The sequence below is a fragment of the Homo sapiens genome, chromosome 2 (assembly GCF_000001405.40).
Source record: "Homo sapiens chromosome 2, GRCh38.p14 Primary Assembly".
Classification (NCBI taxonomy): domain Eukaryota; kingdom Metazoa; phylum Chordata; class Mammalia; order Primates; family Hominidae; genus Homo; species Homo sapiens.
The window spans coordinates 215,686,696-215,711,563 of NC_000002.12; the positions used below are offsets into that span (position 1 = coordinate 215,686,696).

General features: G+C 39.6%; 2 long non-coding RNA genes across 4 annotated transcripts in view; one reads left to right on the plus strand and one right to left on the minus strand.

Moving 5' to 3' along the window:
* LOC102724861 (uncharacterized) overlaps nucleotides 1-24,868 on the plus strand; it is a 168,179-nt gene that overhangs the window by 140,488 nt on the left and 2,823 nt on the right. The window contains exon 5 of one of the 3 annotated variants that reach the window (NR_187735.1): nucleotides 2,957-5,633. The exons of the other annotated variants lie outside the window; for them this stretch is intronic. This is a non-coding gene — a long non-coding RNA (uncharacterized LOC102724861). Of the gene's footprint in view, nucleotides 1-2,956; nucleotides 5,634-24,868 lie in introns of those variants that run through there. 3 annotated transcript variants of the gene reach the window in all.
* The window catches only part of LINC00607 (long intergenic non-protein coding RNA 607), a 231,974-nt gene that overhangs the window by 75,133 nt on the left and 131,973 nt on the right, over nucleotides 1-24,868 (minus strand). The gene's annotated exons all lie outside the window — the stretch shown is intronic.

A 24,868-nucleotide genomic window follows, 5' to 3' on the forward strand; every position in this document is an offset into this window, starting at 1 on the left:
AGGCATGCACCACCACGCCCAGAAAATTTTGCATTTTTAGTAGAGACAGGGTTTCAAACCATGTTGGTCAGGCTGGTCTCGAACTTCCAACCTTAGGTGATCTGCCCGCCTCGGCCTCCCAAAGTGCTGGGATTACAGGCGTGAGCCACCGCACCCGGCCAACAGTTTTGTAACCTCAGCACCACTGGCATTTTGGGCTGAATAACTTTTTGTTATGGGGGTGCTTTTCTGTGCATTGCAGATGTTTAGCAGCCTCTACTCAGCAGGTGCCAGGAGCATCTCCCCATTTCAGTCATGACAACCCAGTATGGCCTCAAGACATAGCCAAATGTCCTCTGGGAGAATGAGGGAAGGGACAGAGTCAAAACTGCCCTTGACAAGGACTCTAGAATATTCAAAAATTTAAAGCATATGTCTAAAGCAGATTTTCTCTATCAATGGCACTGTCCAAACATAGACCAGAGATTCAAACAGCAACTATTTCTTTTTTAAAAAATCTAATTTCTGATAGGATAATTTAGTTACAATTTGAGGGGAAAAGGTGAAACAAGAAAACATAAAGGAAAAGAAGGGAGAGAGAAAGGAAGAAAAAACAGGAGGGAAGGAAGAAAAAGAGAAAGAAGAAAGGAAGGAAGAAAAAAGAAAGAAAGACACTTAATTGTACAAGAAGAATTATCTATCACTTAACTAGAGACCAGGTCCTCTCTTCCTCTATGCTACAGCAATTTCCAGTTTTTTTTAGCTAACACACAGTAACTGAAATCTAGAAGCTTTATCTAAAAAGCATTTGTTTTAAAAGATTAAGGAAAATCCCATTAGATGGTTGGTGGCCTGTGTTTTGTTACATAAGTCATGTGGGCTAACTTAAAGATCAACCACTCCTTTCAGTGCTCACTTCTGAAATGGATTTTGTTGGAGGGAGAAAAGGAGGAAAAGATAAAAAGGAACCAGAAATGTCCATTCATTCTATTCATGAAAATTGCTTTTAGTATTTATTTACCTCCAAGTCTTTGTTAGACAGGACCTCCATTATTATCTTACTCATCTATTTTTATTCCTTTTGACAAAAACTCACTTCTAATTACTACAAGATAGTTTAAATCAACCTCCCTAGTGCTCAGGTTGGTGTCGATAAAGCTAACTCGGCAGTTTGGTTTTTGAAAATTGATGAGGAGGAAGAAGAGCTCAGATTTAATTCTAACCAGCAAAATGTAACTCTGATCCCAAAAGATCACCAATACATCCTTGAGGCAAGTAGGAATGTATACATTAAAATGTATTAAATAGTCCAGTCCAAACTCAGTGCTACATTCAGAAAACATCAGCCTAACATCCAACAATAACTAAAAACAGTGTAAATTTTTCTTTCACTTTCCTTAAAAATTCCAGGAGGAAAATTATGTTCACAATGCAGACTAGAAACCTCTGTTGTCCATTTGCCACTAGCGCTGCCACCCATATGTAGCCGTGTCCCCCAGCAGTTCCTGTCCTTTGAAACTCCCCTAGAACTCAGCCTCCAACTCAGTGCTTGTATTTTCAATTTCTCTCATCCCTTCCACCTTACCAATGTATTTGTTTTCTTCTCACAGTAGTTGTCTGTTCTTTTGATGTCTATCCAGCTATGATTCCCAACCTTAAAAGATGTTTTCTTCTCTCTCTCTCTCTCTCTCTTTCTTTTTTTCTTTGAAACAGAGTCTTGCTCTGTCATCCATGCTGGCGTGCAGTGGCGTGATCTTCGCTCACTGCAACCTCTGCCTGCCAGGTTCAAGTAATTCTCCTGCCTCAGACTCCGGAGTAGCTGGGATTACAGGCACACACCACCAATGGTAGTTGTCTGTTCTTTCGATGTCTATCCAGCTATGATTCCCAAACTCATAAGACAGTCTCATGGGCCCAACAAGTAAGGAAATACAGAATCTCTATCATTTAGAAAAGACAGAAGCTACAAATACTCATGTAAATATATTTATATTACATATAATATGTGTATGTGTGTGAGTGTGTGTGTGTGTGTGTGTATGTGTGCATAACCCATCCCTGTACAAAACAAATAGAGGGAGTTGGCTTGTTTATAGAATAATGAAATATGGAACTATTCTCACAGTGAAATCATTACATGAAACTTTTATCAGAAAGGAAAATAATTTTCATTGCCTTTCTAGTGAGTGGCTTGGCTATGTATGTTTCTTCTAAGCTTTTATGACTGTTAGTACCAAGATGAAGTAAGATGAAGTTGGGAATCAATTCAGCTGCTCTTTCTTTCTTTTTTTTTTTTTTGCTTTTGAGAAAGGATCTCCCTCTGTCAGCTAGGCTGGAGTGTAGTGGCATGACCATGGTGGCAGCTTTGGCCTCCCAGGCTCAAGTGATCCTCCTGCCTCAGCCTCTGAGTAGCTGGGACTACAGACATGCACCACTGCACCTGGCTAATTTTTTGATTTTTTGAAGAGACAGGGCCTCTCTGTGTTGTCCAGGCTGGTCCCAAACTCCTTAGCTCAAGGGACCCTCCTGCCTCAGCCTCTGAGTAGCTGGGACTACAGACATGCACCACTGCACCTGGCTAATTTTTTGATTTTTTGAAGAGACAGGGCCTCTCTGTGTTGTCCAGGCTGGTCCCAAACTCCTTAGCTCAAGGGATCCTCCTGTCTCGGCCTCCCAAGCTGCTGATCTTTCATTGAGTTTCATTCAACTCTTCCATTAAACTCAATTCCAATTAGCTCTGCCTTCTGTTTTCTTTAAAAGTATAAGGAAGATGACAACCTCTATTTAATACTATATTTTTAATGGCTTTCAAAAATCACGTAAGTGGTTAAAAGTCCAGAGGGACTCAAGATCAGTGTTCACAGTCTATTAACTTCTAACACATTCTTCCATTATGCTTTGTGCTTTGAAATATTTGTCTTAAAACACAGTCTTAAAAACTGCATTAATTATAATAATGTCATTTTCTTCTTTTCAGAGTTTTTGTTCCATGTGAGATACCCACGCCACTTTAAAAAACAAACTATCCTGACATCTAATTACTTTGTGAATGATTGTAATGGCAATAACAATAGAGATGGAAGAATTTTGGAAACAATACTAGTTTCACAGCTTTCATGTGAGATGCCAAGGTTTTAGCATCGTCAGATTGGCAATGAGATTGGATAACTTCTGGGGTCTTTTTGAAATTATATCTTTCTTTTCTCTAGGATCCTACTTCTGGAAAATAAGATTAATACTAATACTAATAAGACACAAAGATTTTTAATGGAAATAGGAATATCTTCAAAGGCTGGATGGACATTGCATGCACTGTATGACAACATTCGTGTATAATAAGATCCTTTCCTTAGAGAATGGGGCAAATCCAGATGGAATGTGAGAAAGACTTCAAGGTTTCAGTGGAATATGCTTATATTGGGAATTGTATTAGTTAAGACTAGGTTTGGCTGCACATGACAGAAAACCCAACATAGTCACTTACACAGGATTAAAACATTTCCTTGTCATATGAAAGTCTAGAAGTGGTATGTAGCTCTGGGTGTCAGGGATGAAGATTCCTTCTAACTGGGAACCCAGCTTCCCATTTCAAAGATTGCTTCATATTCAAAATGGCTGCTGGGTCTCCAGGTATAGAGTCCACCTTCCAGCTAGAAGAACAAAGAACCAAAATGAGGCGTGTTCTCCCCTGTAAGGATACTTTCGTAAGTTGAATAGGATGCTTTCATAAGCATCTCATTGGCCAGACTGGTTAGAACTTAGTAACTGGCCACAATCAGCTGGAAAGAAGGCTGGCAAATAGAATATTTAAGGTGGTCACTGTAATCAGCAAAAAAATCATGAGTTACATAATATATAGAAAAGGAGAACAAGCACAGAATGACAACTAGCAGTGTCTGCATATCATTCTTCCAAGCAAATAAATGGAAATAAAAAAAAAATCTTTACTCCAAGATTCACTTGGCCTTGGTGGAATGAAGAATCAGCATTAACATACCTAGTCAATACACAGGGGTTGGCATTCTTTTGATGGAATGTTGAGTCAAGCTGCATAGGTAGGGTCAGTAGACACACCTGCATCTTCAAACAACTAAAAATCTCAGACACCTGCTGATCACAGGGATGTGCAGAGAAAGGCACAGATTGACCTGATAAGTTAACCAAAATCGCTGGACCTCTGTTTTTGTGGATGCATAAATGATATCTTTAAAGAAATCAGATCTTTAACAACCAACGTAATAAAATCTGAACTTGCCCTTTTTTTTTTTTTTTTGAGATGGAGTCTTGCTCTGTCACCCAGGTTGGAGTGCAGTGGTGCAATCTCGGCTCACTGCAACCTCCACCTCTCGGGTTCAAGTGATTCCCCTGCCTCAGCCTCCCAAGTAACTGGGATTACAGGCACGTGCCATCACGCCTGGCTAATTTTTTGTATTTTAGTAGAGACAGGGTTTCACCGTGTTGGCCAGGCTGGTCTTGTCTCCTGACCTTGTGATCTGCCCGCCTTGGCCTCCCAATGTGCTGGTGGCGTGAGCCACTGCACCCAGCCCTGAACTTGCCTTTCTAATAGAGAATTAGAACACGGATTTATCTAGTAATAGCAATATCTCAAATATTCATAAAGAATGAGGTGATCCACAGGAAAATCCTAGAAATCTGCATAGCACTAACCAAAAATAAGGCATTTGTACTGTTTGAGATGATAATGTTAGGGCAGCATGCAATATCCAGAACAGGTAAGCCCAAACAAACAGAAAGCAGATTAGAGGGTGCCAGGGGCAGAGGGGAGAGGAGAATGGCCATGACTGGCTAATGGATAGAGGGTTTCCTTTGGGGGTGATGAATATGTTTTGGAACTAGATACAGGTGATGATTGTGCAACATCATGAACATATTGAATGCCACTTAATTGTACACTTTAATATGGTTAATTCTGTGTTATGTGAATTTTATCACAATTTAAAAAAATGAGTTAGGGCAGCATGTACCTACCACACTGTAGAATGACTGTTACACAAAATGTGTGACATAAACATACAAATGCAGAAAGATTTATGCTAAAAGGGCCAGCTATCCGAAGCCGCCCATTCCCAAACACGTCAAATTGTCATGATTTAACATAGTACCATCAGACTTAAAACAAGAGACTTTATACGTGGGCATATAATGTGATTGAGGAGTTTTCAAACTTAAGAGCTCAAATACCTAGTTAGAATTAAATCAGTACAATGTGACCCAGAAAAGTGAGATGAAGCTGACAAAACAAAACAATTAGTTTAAATATCAGGAGATGTTGCCTAATGGTGAAGTCAACTATATTCTGAAAAGAGCAGCCAAAGAAAGTTATCCAAATCTTATAATTTGGGTCATTAAACTGGATCTGTAAAAAAGAAAAAGGATCTGGAAAATACTCTCTGCACACTAATTTTATACTGGCAAGGGCAGGATACAAAGACAGAATGGGTGTTTTAGTTTCTGGGTCCTATTGCCAATGGTTCTGCCTTTCTTATGGCTTGCTCATAAAGTCTCAGGTTTGTTTCTGTCATTTCTACTGAAGGATTTATTTTGTGGAGAATTTGAAACATGGAAGATGGAAAAACACTTCAGGAAAAGAAAAGAATTACCTCGAATTAAATTGCTAAAACAAATCAAATTTATATCGCTGTTGGATATTTTTAAAATCTTTGGTCTTGGCATAGAATAGTTCTGTGTTTTAACTCATTCTTCTGGTCATTTTAAATTAAAAGCCCAAATAATGATGTTATATAGGGTGAGTAACATTTCAGGTCACATAAACATATGACATCACCAGCTTTCCCCATGGATAAACACACTGAAGGAAAATAATGTAAAAAGGAGGGAAGAATGAGTCCATGCATCCACCTCCCCCCAGCCCTCAGAAAACTTAGCTAAGAAGATGGTTGCCAGAATGAGAAGAGTAGTTCACATTCCTTCTTCATTCAAATATTTCTTTGTTGCTTTTGAAGATAGTAATCAATCCAGAAGAGTAAAGTCCTTCTAAACTCCTCTCAGAGATTCCTGGTACATGAGGTAGGCTGTGCATTTACACTGGAAAGTAAGGCTCCTAGTGATAATATTATAATTGTGGTAGCTAACATTTATTGAGTACTTTCTGAGGCAGAGAGAGATTAATTATGTAACTTGCCCAAAGTTGTATAGCTGGTAAGCTGTGATTCTGGGCTAAGCGCCTAAACAGTTTGAACATCAACTACTTAGCCAATCTGCCTTCTGGAACAGAATAAATATGAACACTTAGCCATACCTAGATGATCAGAGAAGGCTTCCTGGTAAAGGTGCAGCTCCCAATACAAGATTGTGTCCAGTTCAATAGATGAAGAAGAGGTAGAAGTCAGGCCCAGAACAGAGAATAACATGAGCAAATGTTCCAGCCTATGAAACAGTATGGTATGTCCAGATAATCACAAGCCATTGTGTGTTATTGAGCTTTGAGGCAGAAAATAGATGAGTTTGGATTTATAAAGAAGAGTCAGATTGTAGATGACTTTTATGTTGTGCAATGAAGCTTGCATTTTATTCTAGGGATAAGAGACTGCTGAAAGATTTTTAAATGAGGAAATTTAAAGGTTTTTAGATAGATTCCTTTGGTGATAGCGTGGAGGATGTGAAGTTGGGGGAAGGCAAGATTGGAATTAAGGCAATCAGCTGGGGACTATTGCAATCATTTAGGTGAAAAAAGACAAGGATATAAATTATGGTGCTGAAAGGTGGGAACAAATTGAAGGAGCATTTGGGAGGGGAATCAGTATGATACAGTGAATATAGGGAACGAGCAAATGTAAAGAATAATTATCAGGTTTCTCTGATGGTGGTAACTTGGATAATACAGAAAAAGGAGCAGGTGGGGCTGAGATAAATTCATTTTGGAGTATTGTGGGTTTGAGGGAGGTCTGTGAAACATCCAACTGGAACTGTTTGGGTCTGGGAGCTGTTGGGAGCTGTTTGCAGACCTCTGGGTCTGCAAATTTAAAATTCAAGGAAAAGTTCAGGGCCAGAGCCACAGATTTGTGAGTCATCCATTCACTCACTGAATAAACATTCAAAAAAAAAAAAAAGAAAAAAAAAACAGCTTGCTTCAAGAGCAAAGAGGACCTTATAAGTCCTGTTAAGGAATTTTCAGCCTTTCCTGTACTTAGCAAGGAATGAATGATGAGATTAAGCAGCAGAGAAATACGTTGAAACTCATATTTTTAAAAGATCACTCTGACAAATATAGGGAGATAGCAGTTAGCCCAAGTATGGAGAAGTAAGGCCAGGGAAAGTGCATGGAATAATAGCATAATATAAGCAGCAACTCTAGGAGGGGAACTTCATATCATCAATATGGGCAAAGAAAGGAAAATCCACAGAGGAGACCAAGCTGGAAAGATTGAGAGAGGAGGCAATATCCTAGACATCTAGGGAGTAGGGTACCAAGAAGGACAAAGTAGTTGACAAGTCAAATAAATCAAAGTGAGGGGCACTGTAAGATAAATAGTGAGTTGTGTCCATGGTGCCAAATGATAAGGATTTCCCTGGTGAATTTTGCAAAGCTGCAAATAGCTGCAATAAATGGAGGAGTGAATAGTGAACACTAAAAATATAAATTAAAACCACAATGAGATATTACCTCACACTTGTTAGAATGACTTTTATCAAAAAGAAGAACTATAAGCATTGATGAGGATGTGGAGAAAAGGAAAGTGTCGGATATTGTGAAAAATAGTATATAGGTTCCACAAAAAACTAAAAATAGATCCAGTAATCTATTGATTCAGCAATCCTACTTCTGAGTATATATCCAAAAGAATTGAAATTGGTATGTTGAAGGGATATCTTCACTTCCATGTCCATTGCAACACTATTCACAATAGCCAAGTTTTGGAATCAACCTCGATGTTCATCAACTGACGAATGGATATATACACAATAGAATACTACCCAGCCTTGAAAAAAAAAATCCTTTCATTTGTGGCAACATGGATGAACCTGGGGGGCATTGTGCTGAGTAAAATAAGTCAGGCACAGGAAGACAAATACCACATGTTCTCACTTATTCGTGGCATCTAAAAAAGTTGACCTCAGAAGTAGAGAGTAGAATGGTGATTACCAGAGGCTGGGGATGGGAGGGGAAGAGGGAGGGAATGGAGAGTTGTCAGACAAACAATACGAAGTTTCAGATCGATACGAGGAATAATTTTGAGATTTATTGTAGAGTCAGTAATAATGTATATTTCAGAATAACTAATAACTAAGTAAATTTCAAATGTTTCACCACAAAAAATGATAGGTGAGGTGAGGAGTATTTTAATTAGCCTGATCTAATCATTTCACATTGCTTACATATATCAAAACATCACATTGTATCCCATGTATGTATACAATTGTGATTTTTCAATTAAAAGTATATTAATTTTTAAGGCCAGTTATGGTGGCTCACGCCTGTTATCCCAGCACTTTGGGAGGCCGAGGCAGGTGGATCACATGAGGTCAGGAGTTTGAGACCAGCCTGGCCAACGTGGTGAAACTCCGTCTCTAGTAAAAATACAAAAATTAGCCAGGTGTGATGGTGCACACCTGCAATCACAGCTACTTGGGAGGCTGAGGCATGAGAATCGCTTGAACCCGAGAGGTGGAGGTTGTAGTGAGCTGAGTTTGCTCACTGAGTTGAGACCAGTCTCAAAAAAAAAAAAAGAGTAATATTAATTTTTTAAAGAAAGAGTATAAACTACTCTTTAAAGAAGCATCATTTTAATAGAAAGAAGAGAGCCAAAGGATATTTGTCTTAAGATGAAAGAGACTTGGGCATTTTTATAGACTGAGAAGAAGGGTGCATCATTGGGAAAAAAAAAAAAAAGGTGCTTAAAGATAAAGAAGACTGATAAAGAGGCAGGAGAAGGAGTTGGCTTTAAACACGTTGACTTCTCTTACTGCAACTTTTCAGGCCTAAATTATACAATATCTTTCCAATATAAAAAAGTTTTGTATTTTTCGAGGTTTCAGCTAAATGTGTTTGAGCTAAATGGGTTTAGCATGGATATACCATATGGATATTTGAGGTAAATGGATTTAGCATGGATATATCCATTTGGATCTATCATAGACTAATCCTTGTTTTGGACTATGAATTCCAGTCTTCTTATTTGTACTTCTCTTCTGCGCTTGTTGAATATTTGTGGCCTGTTTCTGTTAGGGGCATCCATGGGTTTGATGGATGTATTGCTTTGCCTCCTTCCAGATCTTTCCCTGCTCAAAGTCACTGCAAATCCGAGATGCCCTCCATGGCAGCCTGCTTCCCACAACTTGAAACATTGTTGTTTTACATTAATGTTTGCCTAGGGTTACTAGTTCACAACAAATGTGAAAACAAAAATGCTAGTACTTGCTGACAGGGTCATGGAGGAATTTCTGAAGAGAACATCTGTCAGAGGGAAGACTCGCCTTCCACAGATGCAGCACAGCCTTCTTTCTGTGAAGACACGGGATTTCTGTGAAATCCTACTGGGGATTTCACCTACTGGGTGAAGGACCTACTGGGGGCTTAGTAGGTCCTGAATATCGGGCTGTGGTGATGGTGGTGGAAGCGGAAATGCAAGCCCCCACAGTTACTTTTATCAGTGAAGTAGAAAGTCATTTTATTCTCAAAGGAAAATAGAAAGCTCAGAAGCAGTATAGAATGTAAAAGGAAAAGAACGGAGGAAAGGAAAAAGGTCTTTTAAAGAAGGGTCACTGTGGAGTGTGAATCAGATTCTTAGTGACCTTAAAGAGGTGTGAATTCTACTAAAATTATTTTTATTTCCTTTTGCTCACTTGACAATATTATTTTTATTGTTATGTTGATTTGAGAGTCAGCCACATGGGGCCTTGTGATTATTTGGCCTTTACATGGTAAAAGTAAAAGAGGTAAATTTGTCATTTTCTTCTTTTCTTAAAATATATATATATATTTTACAGGTAGACAAGCTGCAAAGTTTCATAAAGTCTCAACAACGGCCAACATGGAAATTGGAAAAGTTAGAACAAATAGACCAAGCCTGGGGAAATTTACTGAACTCTGGGGCTCCCTTCCAAGTATGGTGATCGGTAACCCAAATTAAACTCACTAAGGTGTCCTGAAAAAAATGGGGTCAATAAAAGATAATGTCAATCTGGAACACACCCTCTGAATTGGGACTAAACCCCAAGCCAATGAATGGAGAATGAGCAACAAGTTATAGCTCCAGGGGCCTGGTAAGAGTGAAGAAGGGAAAAGTCTACAGAAAAAGTAATAGTTCAGGGAAGACTTTATCTTAGCAGGAGCAGAAGAAGGGATGAAGTTAAATCCATCCACTGGGACAGGCCAGGTTTGCTGGTGATTAGAGGAGAAGCCTGCTGTTTAGCCATTCTGCTTTGTATAGAGTCTACTTACACAGCTTCAGACTTAGGATTGGGTTGCCAAGAAGGTGGGGACATGCAGACACCAAAATGTGCTGCGTCTCTCTCTGTCTCTCTGTATCCTCCTACCCACATGATGTCCACTGCCCTTTTTGCAGAACTGCATTCTGGTTTGGCAATATCCCATGTCTTGGACTTTTGCCAATTGTCTCTTCTTTGCCTCATTTAAAGCTTTCTCTCTCCCTTTTTTTTTTTTTTTTAGATGGAGTCTCTGTTGCCAGGCTGGAGTGCAGTGACATGATCTCACTGCAACCTCCGCCTCCCAGGTGCAAGTGATTCTCCTGCCTCAGCCTCCTGAGTAGCTGGGATTACTGGAGTGCACCACCACACCCAGCTAATTTTCGTATTTTTAGTAGAGATGGGGTTTCACAATGTTGGCCAGGATGGTCTCGATCTCTTGACCTCGTGATCCGCCCACCTCGGCTTCCCAAAGGCATTCTCTCTTTATTCCCCAATATAGTCCCTCAAGGTCTTGCCAAAGGCCTGGTTAGAAAGATTAAAAAAGAAAAAAACACACACACAGAAAAGAAATGAGTCTAAAGGCTGTTATCCCTGTGGGTTAATCCTCCTAGATAACACTGACATTTTAACAAATGCTTTTAGTGCTAAAGAGGAAATATGTGGGAAAGTTTTTAGGCATGGGCCAGGTGAATGGAATAGCCGTTTATCAAAACATTTATTAGATGTGTGTACTTCTAAAATGATGCCATGCAGATTGTTGCCTAATTTGTAGATCTAGTTCGTGCATCCTCCATCTCTCTCTCTCTATTTCTCTTTCTCTTTCTGTTTGTCCCTTTCTTTCTGTCTGTCTCTCTGCCTCTATAGCTCTATTGCCCTAACTATCTCTTTTCAGTGAAATATACTTCTCCCCTGCCATACAAAAGTATTGTATTACTGCATATTCTTCAGTATTCCCATATAGATTTTATGATAACAATTCTCTGAAATGTGTAGATTTGCTCGATTCTGTTATACAGTCAGACGTGTGTAACTATTTTATGCATGCGTAAAAGGAGTGAGTATTCTCCCAATTGTTGGGTGGAGTGCTTATTAAATCAAGTATATTAATTGTGTTTTCAAATCTTCTATATCTTTTTGACTTTTTGTTCTTTGATATATGAATTGTGGGTGGAGGCGTGGTAAAATCTCTCACCACAACAGATTTTAAAATTTCTCCTTATATTTCTGTAAATTTTTGCTTTATATATCTTGAAGTTATGTTATTCGGTGCCTATAAGTTTATATCTGACACTTCTTTCATGTGAACCAAAATCTTTTATCATTATATGTTAACGCTATTTATTGGCAGTAATATTATTTTGTCTGATAATTATATAGTTATACCTGCTACATATTTATAGTATTTGCCTAATATATTCATTACTTACTGATACATAACAAATTGCCCTTAACCAGTAGTGGCTCAAAACAATAATTCACATTTATTATCCTCTCAGACACTGTGAGTTAATAATTCTGGAGAGACTTAGCTGGGCAGTTCCAGCTTGGAGTTGGAGTTAAGGTGTTGGCTGAGAAAAGTCATTTGAATGCCTGATTAGAGCCAGAGCATGTGCTTTTAACATGATTCAATCACATGACTGGCAAGTTGGTGCTAGTTGTTGGCAAGAGGTTTCAGTGGCCTCTCCACAGGCTGCTTGAGTGTTCTCACGACATGGTGGTTAGATTCCTTTAGGCAAGTGATGCAAAACAGATGGTCAAGTGGAATATCTTTTTCATGATATCACTTTACCAGTTCCACCAATTTTTGTTAGAACGGTCAGAGTCAAGGGGAGAGAAACTAGATGCTACTTTTTTTTTTCTTTCTTCTTTAAGACAGTGTCTTGCTCTGTTGCCTAGGCTGAAGCACAGTGGTGCAATCACAGCTCATTGCAGCCTCGACCTCCCAGGCTCAAGTGATCTTCCCACCTCAGCCTCCTGAGTAGCTGTAACTACAGGCATGTGCCACCACATCTGGCTAATTTTTGTATGTTTTGTAGAGAAGAGTTTTCACCATGTTGCCCAGGTTGATCTCAAACTTCTGGGCTCAAGCAATCACCTGCCCCAGGCTCCCAAAGTGCTGGGATCACAGGCATGGGCCCCGGTGCCCAGCCTCTGGTTGCTACCTTTTGAAAGGGAAAGTGTCAAATAATTTGCATATGTCTTTTACATCTACCATAATGGTCTTTTGATATTCTTTTACTTTCCATCTTATTGTGTTCTTATGTTTTAGGTACACCTCTTGTAAATGAATATAGCTGGAATTTTATTCCAATGTAATAGCTTTTATCTTTTAACTGGAAAATGTAGCCCATTTATATTATTTGTTGACTGCTAATAAATTAGGATTAATTTTTAACACTTTTTTCTTAAATGTTTTACTTTCTTCATAGTTCCTGTATTTCTTTTTTTCTCTCTCCCTCCTTTCTTGCCACCTTTTGAAATTATTTTTCCCTACATTTAAAAATTTCCTCTCTGCTCATTTTGCAGCTTTACATTCTATTTATATTCTCTTACTGGTTACTCTATGCAACTTAGCGTGCATATTTAACTTCAAATTCTTAAGTAAATCAATATCTTCCTTATAAATTTATGTTCATTAGAACTTTGTCTGTAGGATTTAAGAATTGGGTTTTAAACAAACTTTTCCAGAGATTTGTATTTGCTTGCTCCTTAAGGCAGCACCAATATAAGACCACTTTAAAGTTGGGGTTGGGGACCACGCATATAGTGTGAATTCAGCACACAAATCTATTTAAGAGACTGTGATTAGGAATTCTCAGAAGACACTTCCTGTTTTCATTAGTACAAGTTTCTATATTTTTCTTTTTGCTTTTTTGCATTGTTGTTCTCTCTTGTTTTAGTTCATCCTTTAACTAAAGGTGCTCTTTGAGGGTCAGAGGTCTTATGTAAGAAGAGAAAACTTTCCAATCTGATTTCTCCCTAGTGTGAACATTGGTCTCGGCTGCCTCTTTCCTCCCCAAACTTGGCCCATTGAAATCTGTAGAATACCAAGGATTGCCATTGCTTATCTCTTTAGACTTGTGACTTCTTGCTTTTTTTTACTTTTAAAGACTTCCTTATTTTCTTGTCAGCTTAGCCATATGCTTAAAAGAATTTTTAAAACTATGTTAACTAGGGAAGTTTCAAAATACTTTGCAAATAGAACTAACATTGAAGCCATACTGACAAGAGAGTGGTAGAAACTTGCAGCCTGAATTTAACCAGGCTGATTGTTTGCTAAAACAAAAACATTGACATTCTTTATAGGATTCAAATAAGACCCAGGGCCTAAGAACATAATATTTAAAATTCCAAGGATACAATTCAAAATTACATGGTCTATGAAAAAACAAAAGAAATCTCAATTTACATGGGAAAAGGACAGTCAACAGACATCAATTCTATAATGACACAGATGTTGGAATTGTTTGAGAAAGACTTTAATCAGCTACTATAAAATGCTCCAAAAAGTAAGGACAATACACACACTCCTCTGGCTGAGGAGATCTGCTGGACCCTGCTCACTCCCACTGCATTGGGTAACTGTGATGACTCTTAGGAGCTCAGCTTACAAAGCCCAGGACAAGATTCCCTGTAAGACCATTTTCAGTTCTAAAGTTCAATGAACTAAATCTTAAAGGCATGAGAGTGGAAGGAATCATGCCATTCCTTCATGACATACAGCAGAGGCATTCCTGGAGAAGAAGGGAAAAAAGACCTTTCAGCTGTGTCATAATTACTGTATAAAAATGTCTATACACCTCAGAAGGAAAGAAGACAAGGATGAATTATAAATTAGAGTCTGTATCAGTCAGGATACTTTCTACTGAAGTTAACAGAAGACTCCACTAGAAATGGCTAAAGAAATGGCAATTTGTTATTTCCTATAACAAGAAGGCAAAGATGAATCAGCGACTAACTGACCTTGTCAAGGACCTGGGTGCTTCCTCCTTTCCTTGCTCTGCCATCCTTAGCAGAGCAAATTATTTTGGCAGGCAGACAAGTCTTATGTTATTGCAAGATGATTCAGTAATCTCTTATGCAAAAATGATCACATCCAGTGAAGAAGAGGAGCACTGCTTTCCATGTGGCCTTTCTGGGAAAGAAAAAAATGACTTTAAAGGAGAAGTTCCATGACTTCTACCATTTGCAATAAAAATGAGAACTGGGCTGGGCGCGGTGGCTGGCGCCTGTAATCCCAGCACTTTGGGAGGCCAAGGCGGGTGGATCACGAGGTCAGGAGATTGAGACCATCCTGGCTAACACGGTGAAACCCCGTCTCTACTGAAAAAATACAAAAAATTAGCCAGGCGTGGTGGCAGGCGCCTGTAGTCCCAGCTACTCGGGAGGCTGAGGCAGGAGAATGGCGTGAACCCGGGAGGCGGAGCTTGCAGTGAGCCGAGATCGCACCACTGCACTCCAGCCTGGGTGACAGAGCGAGATTCTGTCTCAGAGAAAAAACAAAAACAAAAACAAAAAAGAGAACTGAAATCCAACTAAGCCCCCAGCTACCGACTAAATAGACACCTTAACTCCTGTCTTTTTAAGGTCCTGTCTTTGTAAAATGTATCAGTCAGAGTCTCAGCAACTAACAGATGGCATACTCAGATTAGGATAATCTGAGAAGAGTTTCATAAAGGGACAACTGTATTTTAAAAGATACAAGCAGAGGCCGGGTGCGGTGGCTCACGCCTGTAATCCCAGCACTTTGGGAGGCTGAGGCGGGCAGATCACCAGGTCAAGAGATCAAGACCATCTTGGCCAACATGGTGAAACCCCGTCTCTACTAAAAATACAAAAATTCGCTGCGTGTGGTGGCGCGCGCCTCTAGTCCCAGCTACTCGGGAGGTGAGGCAGGAGAATCGCTTGAACCCGGCAGGCGGAGGTTGCAGTGAGCCAAGATCACTCCACAGCACTCCAGCCTGGCAACTGAGCAAGACTCCGTCTCAAAAACAAAAAAAAGATAGGAGCAGAGGGTTGGGAAAACGCAGAATACAGTTCAATACTCCAGGGCTTCCACAATTCTCTCCACTCCCATACACACTTGAAGAGAAGAGAAAGGGATGGAGGGAAGATTACTAGAACTGGAAGGAGAGAGTCATAGAGCAGGAGTCAGCAAACTTTTTCTGTCAAGGACAGGAGAGTAAATATTTCAGTCTTTGCAGGCTTTGTTTCCCTCTCGACTGCTCAGCTCTGCCATGGTAACACAAAAGCAGCCATAGACAATATGTAAACGTATGAGTGTAAACTTTATTTACAGATACTGGAATTTGAATTTTATGCAATTTTCGTGTACCACGTGAGGTGGAGGTTGCAGTGAGTTGACACTGCGCCACTGCACTCCAGCCTGGGTGACAGAGCAAGACTCTGTCTCAAAAAATAAAAATAAATAAAAATTAAACAATTTTTATCAACCACTTAAAAATGCATGTAGCTGACAGGCCATGCAAAACATGGTGGGCTGGGTTTGGTTCATGGATCACGATTTATCCATCTCTCCTGTCAAGAGGAGCTGTGAACATCAGCCAAGGGAAGCAGCCACCCTTAGGGACACTGTAGGGGAGAAGCCACAGGAATAAATACGCTGACCTCATTCTCTTCTCATTAAAAAATTCAACCAGAAGCCAAACAGTAAGCAAACTCATTAACATGCTCCATATAGGTTATCCTCCCAAGCAGAGAGCTGGGTGGAGAAGGGTAGAGAGAGCATCTGGAGGGTTGAACAGGAGACACCTGGCACAGCACTTTCCATGTTGCCAGTTTACTACTGTATGTTTTCTTTAGTAGCTCATAAACTCGTAGAAGAAAACAGAGCAAAAGGGTGTTTGCTGTGCTTTATTCTTCGGGGGCAATAAGGCAGAGAGACAGGAGTAAGACTGTGTCCTATCCTGAAACCAGACAGGACAACTCCAAGGGACAAGATAGGATGACATCAGCTCTAATGAGAAGTGGAAAACAAGTCAAACCCTTGGCATCTCGAGCAAAGGAAAAAGGAAAGACAGGCACTGGATGGGGCCTGCCAGATGCTTCTGATGTTGAATAAGGGAGAAGGGGGAAGCTACATGTTGCTCGTGTGTAAAATCATTTCTTGATAACCCTTAATAACCCGGGTACCATCTACCTCTCCTTTGAAGCTCTGCAGAATTAGGGGCCTATTTTATAGCAGATTTGGGGCTATAAATTTTTTTTAGTATATATCTCATTTCACTATATTTATTAGAAGTTTCTTGCATGCAAGTGGTAGAATACAACTCAAATCAGCTTAAGTCTTAAAATGAAAATTAAAGGAAGGATTCTGAGTTATAGTCTAATGAAGGGTTGACTAGGCCAGGTGGGGGGCCCATGCCTATAATCCTAGCACTTTGGAAAGCTGAGGCAGAAGGATTCCTTGAGCCCAGGAGTTGGAGACCAACCTGGGCAACATAGTGAGACATCATCTCTGGAAATAATTTTTTAAAATTATCTGGGCCTGGTGGCACACACCTGTAGTCCCAACTATTCAAGAGTCTGAGATGGGAGGTTGAGCCTGTGAGGTCAAGGCTGCAGTGAGCTGAGATCGCACCATTGCACTCCAGCCTGGGTGACAGAACAAGACCCTGTCTCAAAAAAAAAAAAAAAGAAAAGAGAAAAAAGAAACAACAAAAGAAAAAGATGACTAAGCCTACAATGGCAAGGAGCAGACAGCTCTCAAATTCCTGGAAAATGGGGATATGCACACTACCAAATCCTCTCTATCTCATCTGTGATTCTTTCTCTTTGTTAATATAATTTTCTCAGTGCAGAGCAGCTTTCTCTCCAAGGTATAAAACCTGGATCCCAGTTTTACATCATGTAGCCAAAATTCTCAAGAAAAGGAATCTGGTCTCATTTGGATCACGTGATCATTCATGGACCAATCAACCATGGTTGAATGGTAGCTGGGAGCTTATTAAAATATTTCTTTCTTTCTTTTTCTTTTTTTTTTTTTTTTGAGACGGATTCCCGCTCTGTTACCCAGGCTGGAATGCAACCAAGCGATCTCAGCTCACTGTAACCTCTGCCTCCCGACTTCAAGTGATTCTCCTGCCTCAGCCTCCTGAATAGTTGAGACTACAGGCACCCACCACCAAGCCCGGTTAATTTTTGTATTTTTAGTAGAGACAGGGTTTTGCCATGTTGGTCAGGCTGGTCTCAAACTCCTGACCTCAGGTGATCCACCCACCTTGGCCTCCCAAAGTGCTGGGATTACAGGCATGAGACACCTGTCTCATAGGTATCTGTTCCTCATATTTCTGCATGTGAGAACTTGAGGGCAGGACTTTTCCTATTTTTGTCTCCACAGGACCCAGCACAACGTCTTGCACATGGCCCTCCATCAGTATTTTTGGAATGAAAAAATTGCTTTTGTCAGTGACATTTCCCTTAGATCAGGGGAAACTTACATGCTCTGGATAATATTTCAAAATTTTCCTATTAGTTAAGATTATCTCATAACTCTTCTCCTATTTTTAAAACTTTAAAAGTCTTATTAATGCAGTTGACTATAATCATTAAAGCACAATTTTTGAAATAAAGCAAATTCTGATACCAAATACTGGATCAACCAAGATAAAAAGGAGAATAGCTATCATGTCAGATTACCCTCCACTTTGAGTGTTCATGATTTAATTACCAGATGGCTACCAACTGATTATTAAATCAGTTGGGTGGAGAAGGATTGGACTGGGTTTATACCTAGCCAAATCCTTTCACCTAACGTGACAAGTAGAAGTAAAACTAAGATAATCCCAAAAACCTCAACCAGATTTTAAGTCTGTTGATTGGATTTATACCTATCCAAATCCTTTCAGTTAATATGACAAATAGAAGTAAAACTAAGACAATACCCAAAACCTCAACCAGATTTCAAGTTCAATGTATTTTCTCTGTAATCACCTTACTGTCTGCTTCAGTGAATTTTGTCTCATTGACCAAAATTCCTCTTTGGCCTCATCATGACTTCAGTGTCTCAATTCTGATTCTATCTCTCACACTATTGGCCTCCTTCTCACTTAAATTGCCTTCTACCAAATGGAAGCCAGAGTCAGTCTTTTCAGTCTTGGTTCAGTGGGGATATCTTACATTCCAGAATCCCTTATATCCCTCCATTTTCCATCCGTAACAATTTCCCCGATTCCAGTTCTACAATATTTTATGCCAAGCGTCCAAGCATTGTCAGAGAAAATTCTAAAATTGTTATGTACAAATGCATACCAAATAATTTGAATGCATACTTTTAAAAATTTTATTGCAGCCTGTTTCTTTTCCTCACTAAAATTTTTACCTACCCTGTTTTTAAATCTTGCTCCCCCGCCCCACCCCACCAAATAATCTGATTAAGTAGATTTTAGTCATCCAGGATTAACTTCCTCTTTTTAAAATCTTAACTTTAAAACTGCACTTTCTCAAAGAATGATGTGCCTTTTGGTTTTACCAAAGACTACTGTTCTCTTTGTAATTCTATCCTGTTCTCCTAATCCAAGACTTTGTGTCTTAGCTCAGGCTGCCATAACAAATGCTGCAGACTAAATGGCTTACACTACAGAAATTTATTGTCTCACAATTCTGGAATCTGGAAGTCCAAGATCTAGGTACCTATAGCATTGGACTCCTCTGATGCTTCTCCCCTTGGCTTGCAGATGGCTTTCCTCTTGCTGTGACCTCACATGGTATTTACTCTGTGTCTCTGCACACTCCTGCTGTTTCTCTGTGTATCCTAATCTCCTCTTCTTGGACACCAGTCAGATTGGATTAGGGCCCACCCTCATGTCTTCATTTTAACTTAATCACCTCTTCAAAGGCCCAATCTCCAAATATAGTCACAGCCTAAGGTTCTGGAGGTTGGGGCCTCAACATATGAGAAAATGAAAAATTACTACTCGAAACTGCAATTCCTTCTGAAGGGATTAGCACCTATAAAAAGAAACGTCAGGACTTCTTCCAGGCCTTTGCTATTTATATAATAGAAACTTTGAGGAGATTTGTGGGTTTTGGACATGAGCAAGTGGGCCAGGAACTGAGTTGTATTCATCTTCCACAAATATTTACTCAATGCCTATAATGTGGTGTCAGGAATTGAGAGGGGAAAGACCAAAATTGTTCTTCAATAATAGAGCAAAAAGAATTTGGAGTTCTTGAATGCAACTTGGAAGGGAAAGAATGAGGAAGATGAAACAGAGCCAACACAGGATGGGAAAGTTCAGGATGCTGCCTAGGCCAGGAGTGCTGGTGATAACATCCCTAGAGGTAGAAAGGCCAGAAGCTCTTTCTGAGCGGCAGCAGCAAATTTTAAGTTGCTTTCATTTTTAAGATATAAATGCTTCTATATCTGCAAACTTTAATACTACTGCATTTGTGGGATCAGCCTGTGTTTAAACCAAGGAAAAGTGCTGAATTTCAATTTCATGTCTCCACTGAGCCACTGTGGAGAGAAGACAACCCAATCAGCATGGTGGAAAGTTTTCTCACACAGCACACATGCAGTAGAAGCAGAATGCTGGAATCAGAGGTAAGCACAAAAGCATAAGACACCTATGAATTCACAAAATTCTGAAGAAGGAATTGGGCATTTAAAAGTTTTATTAAAAAGCATTTAAGTCATGCAAAAAAATAAAAGGATAAATACAATAAATTTCCAGGTACACACACCAGCCAGCCTAAGAAACACATTATCAATATATTTGAAGCTCCCTGTGTTTCTTCAATATTGTTTCCCTCCCACCCCACTCTAGATATAACCCCCATCTTCAATTTGATGTTTGTCACCCCCAAAGGCATTGGATGTCCCACAAATAGCAAAATGAAGTTCAGTTCAATCTTGTCTATGTCTAAGGCAATTCTGACATGTGGTTTATGAATACATAATTTGTGCATCCCTGATGCCATGCAGCTATTTGGTATATAATATGTTCAAATCAGATAATAAATACACATCAACACATTTACACACACACACACACACACACACACACCTTTACGTAAAGCATTTATACATAAAAACGTAGTTATAAATATAATATACGTAAATATCTTGACTATTTCAAGGTATTCAAGCTATCTGAGATTTATTCAATTCTATTTCATTTTAACAACTAAACACAAATCAATACATTATCTGTTTTTATAAAAACAGTCTTCTTGGGGCTTAAAAAATTTAAATATGTAATATACTCTGTGATTTCCCTGAAAGCCACAAACCAATTTTCTTCTCAGCACTAGGCACCCAATTACAACATTTAAAATTAAAAGTTCAAGTTACTGTGGGTTTTCTGCTCAGTTGCAATTAATTTTGAAACTTATGTTTAGAAGGACATGTTTTTCTCAAATCTCAATGTTTTCTCAAAAACAATGAATAATTGTATAAGCACGATTATTCACTGTTTGAGGTAATCTAAGACACCGTTTTTCTTTGTAAACATTGAATACTTTTATTAGCAGATATCACATTTAGAATATTGGGCTGAAGGACAGGAAACATGCGAAATTCATATATTCTCAAGTTTGTCCAGAGTGTTTGGAGAAAAGTACTTAATTCTCTTTCTTTTAGAAGATAATACCAGCAACCAATGAACTGTATCTTTAAACACTAAAGCGGGAAGTAAGCTATGTCCTTATCTGAGGAACGTGTGTTGCGTGATTGCTGATAAACACAGTGCTGTTTCTGGAGGTGATTTGCAAAGTCAGAGCTATATGCACCCATAAAGCATCACTGCATTCAAAGGAATCTGAACAGCCAAGCTCCAAAAGGAAGGGGAACTTCATCCCGGCTGTCTCTGCTGCAACATGGTGGAGCATGTAAAGTCTTACAAACTCACCCCAGTTAGGAAACTGATGAACACTTGAGGGACTACGGAACATTCGGTACTGCGCTAGGGATCCTGAGAACCACAGACATATTAAGCAGGCATGATCTTTCCATAAGACACTCTTAGGGCCATTGGAGGAAATAAGGCACCTATAAAGGAGAGAGCCATCTTTGAGGTTGAAATGGTCAGGCAAGGCGTAGGCTTTAGGGTCTGTTTTAGTCTGTTCCTGTTCTCAAATATTTTATTATAGTAGCAGGACCAGACTGAGACAGACTCCAAACCCAAAGAACATAAATTTGGCCTGACACGGTGGCTCACACCTGCAATCCAAACACTTTGGGAGACCAAGGCGGGAGGATCACTTGAGCCCAGGAGTTTGAGGCTGCAGTGAGCTGTGATTGTGCCATTGCACACCAGCCTAGGTGACAGAGCAAGACCCTGTCTATAAATAAATAAATAAACAAACAGAAATTTATTACCCACAGTTCTGAAGGCTGGGAAGTCTAAAATCAAGGCACTAGTAGATTTGGTGTCTAGTGAGGACTCATTATCTACTTCATAGATGGCTCCTTCTTGCTGGGACCTCACACGACAGAAAGGGTGAACAAGTGCCACGGAGTTTCTTTGGTAAGTGCACTCATCCCATTTTTGAGCTCATGACCTAATCGCCTCCTAAAGACTCCATCTCTTTAATACTGTTGCACTGGAAATTAGGTTTCAACATATAAATTTTGAACCAATATTCAGACCATAACAGGTTCTCCAAAATATTAAGGGAGAAAATAGGACATTAATGTAGGATTTCAGGGTGGATTACTTTTAGGTAGAGATAAGAATCACTATATACAAAAGCATGATGTTTGTGTCAGGAAAGGATAAATAGATTTGCCTGGCTGGAATAAAGGATTCTTGTAGGGCAGTAGAGAAAAATAGGTAGAATGGGAAAAGTAGGTTGGAGCCAGAACATGGGGTCTTCAAGGCCAAATCGAAAGTAAACAATAGGGAATCTTCCCTGGCCCCATTTTTTTTCTTTCTTTTTTTTTTTTTTTGGTGAAGAGAGGAACATGATTTAAAAAAAAAAAAAAATTAAGGCATTGTATACAAAAAAGCCATAGTAGAATGAAGGTGTGTAAATATTATTTTTCAGGTTTCTTATTTTTCTTATGTTCCACTCCTGGATAATGTTGTCACCTCCTTTTGATACTTTGAGACTCGAAACTAATCATCTTCAGCTTCTCATTTTAACTTCTACTCCACGCCAAGTCCTCATAATCTAATTTTCAGGTACTTTGCACAGTATACAGCAACTAGCATAATCATCTCTTAGTAAGTGCATGTTGAATCAATACCTGAGTTGGACAATGGGTTATGTTTCTGATCTCCTTTCCCTCCTTTCCTTCTCTCTACTGCTTACTCTGTTCTGACCCTTCCATTTGGACTTTTGTACTCGTTTCTCTCCTCTCTGAACCATCCTGCATATGGCAACCAATGTGATTGTTCTCCATCATATGTCAATCACATCACTACCTCGTTAATAAAACAAAACCCAAAATACAAAAAGTCAATTGATTCTTACAGGAAGAAAAAGTACAGGATCTATAAGAGGACAAGTTATTCTGGGATATGGTTCCAGCCCATCTTTCTCACCTCACTGCTTAATATACTCCCCTGCCTCTTCTGTGTCCAGTCCAATTAGTGCCTTCCCTAATTACAGTGAAAGTTTTGTCACTGATTTTCATGAAAGTTAAGTAAGTTTAAACATATAAATTGCTTACATCTGTCCCCAGCACATAGTGAGTTCTCAATAAGTATAAATGGTTGTTATTATTAAGTCTGAGTATTTTCCTGCCTGGTTTCCTAAGTACTCTCATCTCTGCCAACTATTTACCAACTTAACTCTTTCTGATAAAATCCTACTTCTTCTTAAGGCCCTATTCCAATACTGCCCTCAAAGGCTAAGAAAACTTTCCTAATTGCCTAGTCCGAATCTCTCTTTATTCCACCTACCCATAGCTGTATATAGCTCATGTAACACTTAAAGCAGTCTACTAAACAGTGGCAGGATAAACCTACACACACACACACACACACACACACACACACACAAACACACACTTTCTATGGAGCAAAGATCATGAAGTATCTATATAAAGCAGATGTCACTGGTTCAAACAGCCATAAAGACCATTCTCAGAGCGTGGGTTCATCCCTACAATGTGAGCAGAAAGGAGCAAGAAGAGAATTAGAAAAATAATAGCAGAAATATTATTGCATAAGAAATAAGGCTGAAGTTATCTTAAGGGTAAGGAAAAGCTTTGCTCACTTGCAACTAACCTGTATTATCCTCAGAAAGAAACAAATACTCAACTGTGGTGAGGTTATGCGTGCTCTTCTGTAATTCATTAGGAAATCAGATGAATCCCAATTTTCCACCACACTGATGCAAACATTGAGCTGCCTTCTTCCTTCACCCCACCAGGAGATCTCAGCTCATCCACCAGCCTTTTGGAATTAGCAAAACCGAGGTAGAGCCAACTAGCTTTTGCCCCAAATCTGAAGTGTAGAGTTTTATAAACCAAAAGAAATAATTTCCCTCATGTTGGAAAATGGGAGGGAGGTGAGGGGGAGAGAGAGGTGGGACACAGAACTACAAGATGAAGGATGCGAAGAAGGAAAAGTCAGAAATAAGATGAATTCAGAACCCTTTAAGCTGCATGGCCCTCCTCAGTGTGGTACAAGGGACAAGTCAATCAGATGAAATAAAAATTCCCAGCCCTGATCTGCATTGCTCCACAGTGTCCACTCAATCTTTAAGCAAAATAAGTTTATGAATCTTCCTTTAGTTCACTTTGTGTCCGGTCTGAGGAGGGACATACTCAGTCTCTGACCAATATACAGAGTGCCTGCAAAGTAGGGTTAAGCAGCCCCATGGTCTACCTTGCTGTGAATTTCAAAGTGCATCCATGTGCTGCAGAGAAAGAACCACAAACAAGAGGCCTTCTGGGCTTCCTGCTCTGGGGAGCTTTCCCTGGCAGCAGTGGGGATAAAAGATCTTTACAGCTGAAAAGTCTTTCTTATATTTTTTTTTCTTTTTTTTTTTTTGAGAGAAGGCCTTGTTCTGTTGCCCAGGCTGGAGTGCAATGGCGTGATCATGGCTTTCTGCAGCCTTGACCTCCCAGACTCGAGCCATCCCCCCACCTCAGCCTCCCTAGTTGTTAAGACTACAGGTGTGCACCACCATGCCCAGCTAGTTTGCTTTATATTTTTTGTAGAGACAGGGCTTTGCCATGTTGCCCAGGCTGGTCTCTAGCTCCTGGGAAATATTATCTTTTTAATCTTTGATGTTCCACACCCATGCATATCATGGGTCTCAGGACCTTCCCCAGTAAATGTTAATTTTCATTGAACTGATTTTGGGGAGGTCCCCAGGAGATAAAAAGTAGGGTTAAGGGTGGGCTTTGTAGCGGGGAGGGAGCTTGTTAAACACAGACCCTAGAGACATGTCCATATACTATGAGATTGCACCAAGTCAATATTATGAATCAGACTTTGCTTGTAAAAGCACAGCTTTGGAACTTGCAGTGTGGCTATTTCCGCTTTTCATTTCATCTTCTAAC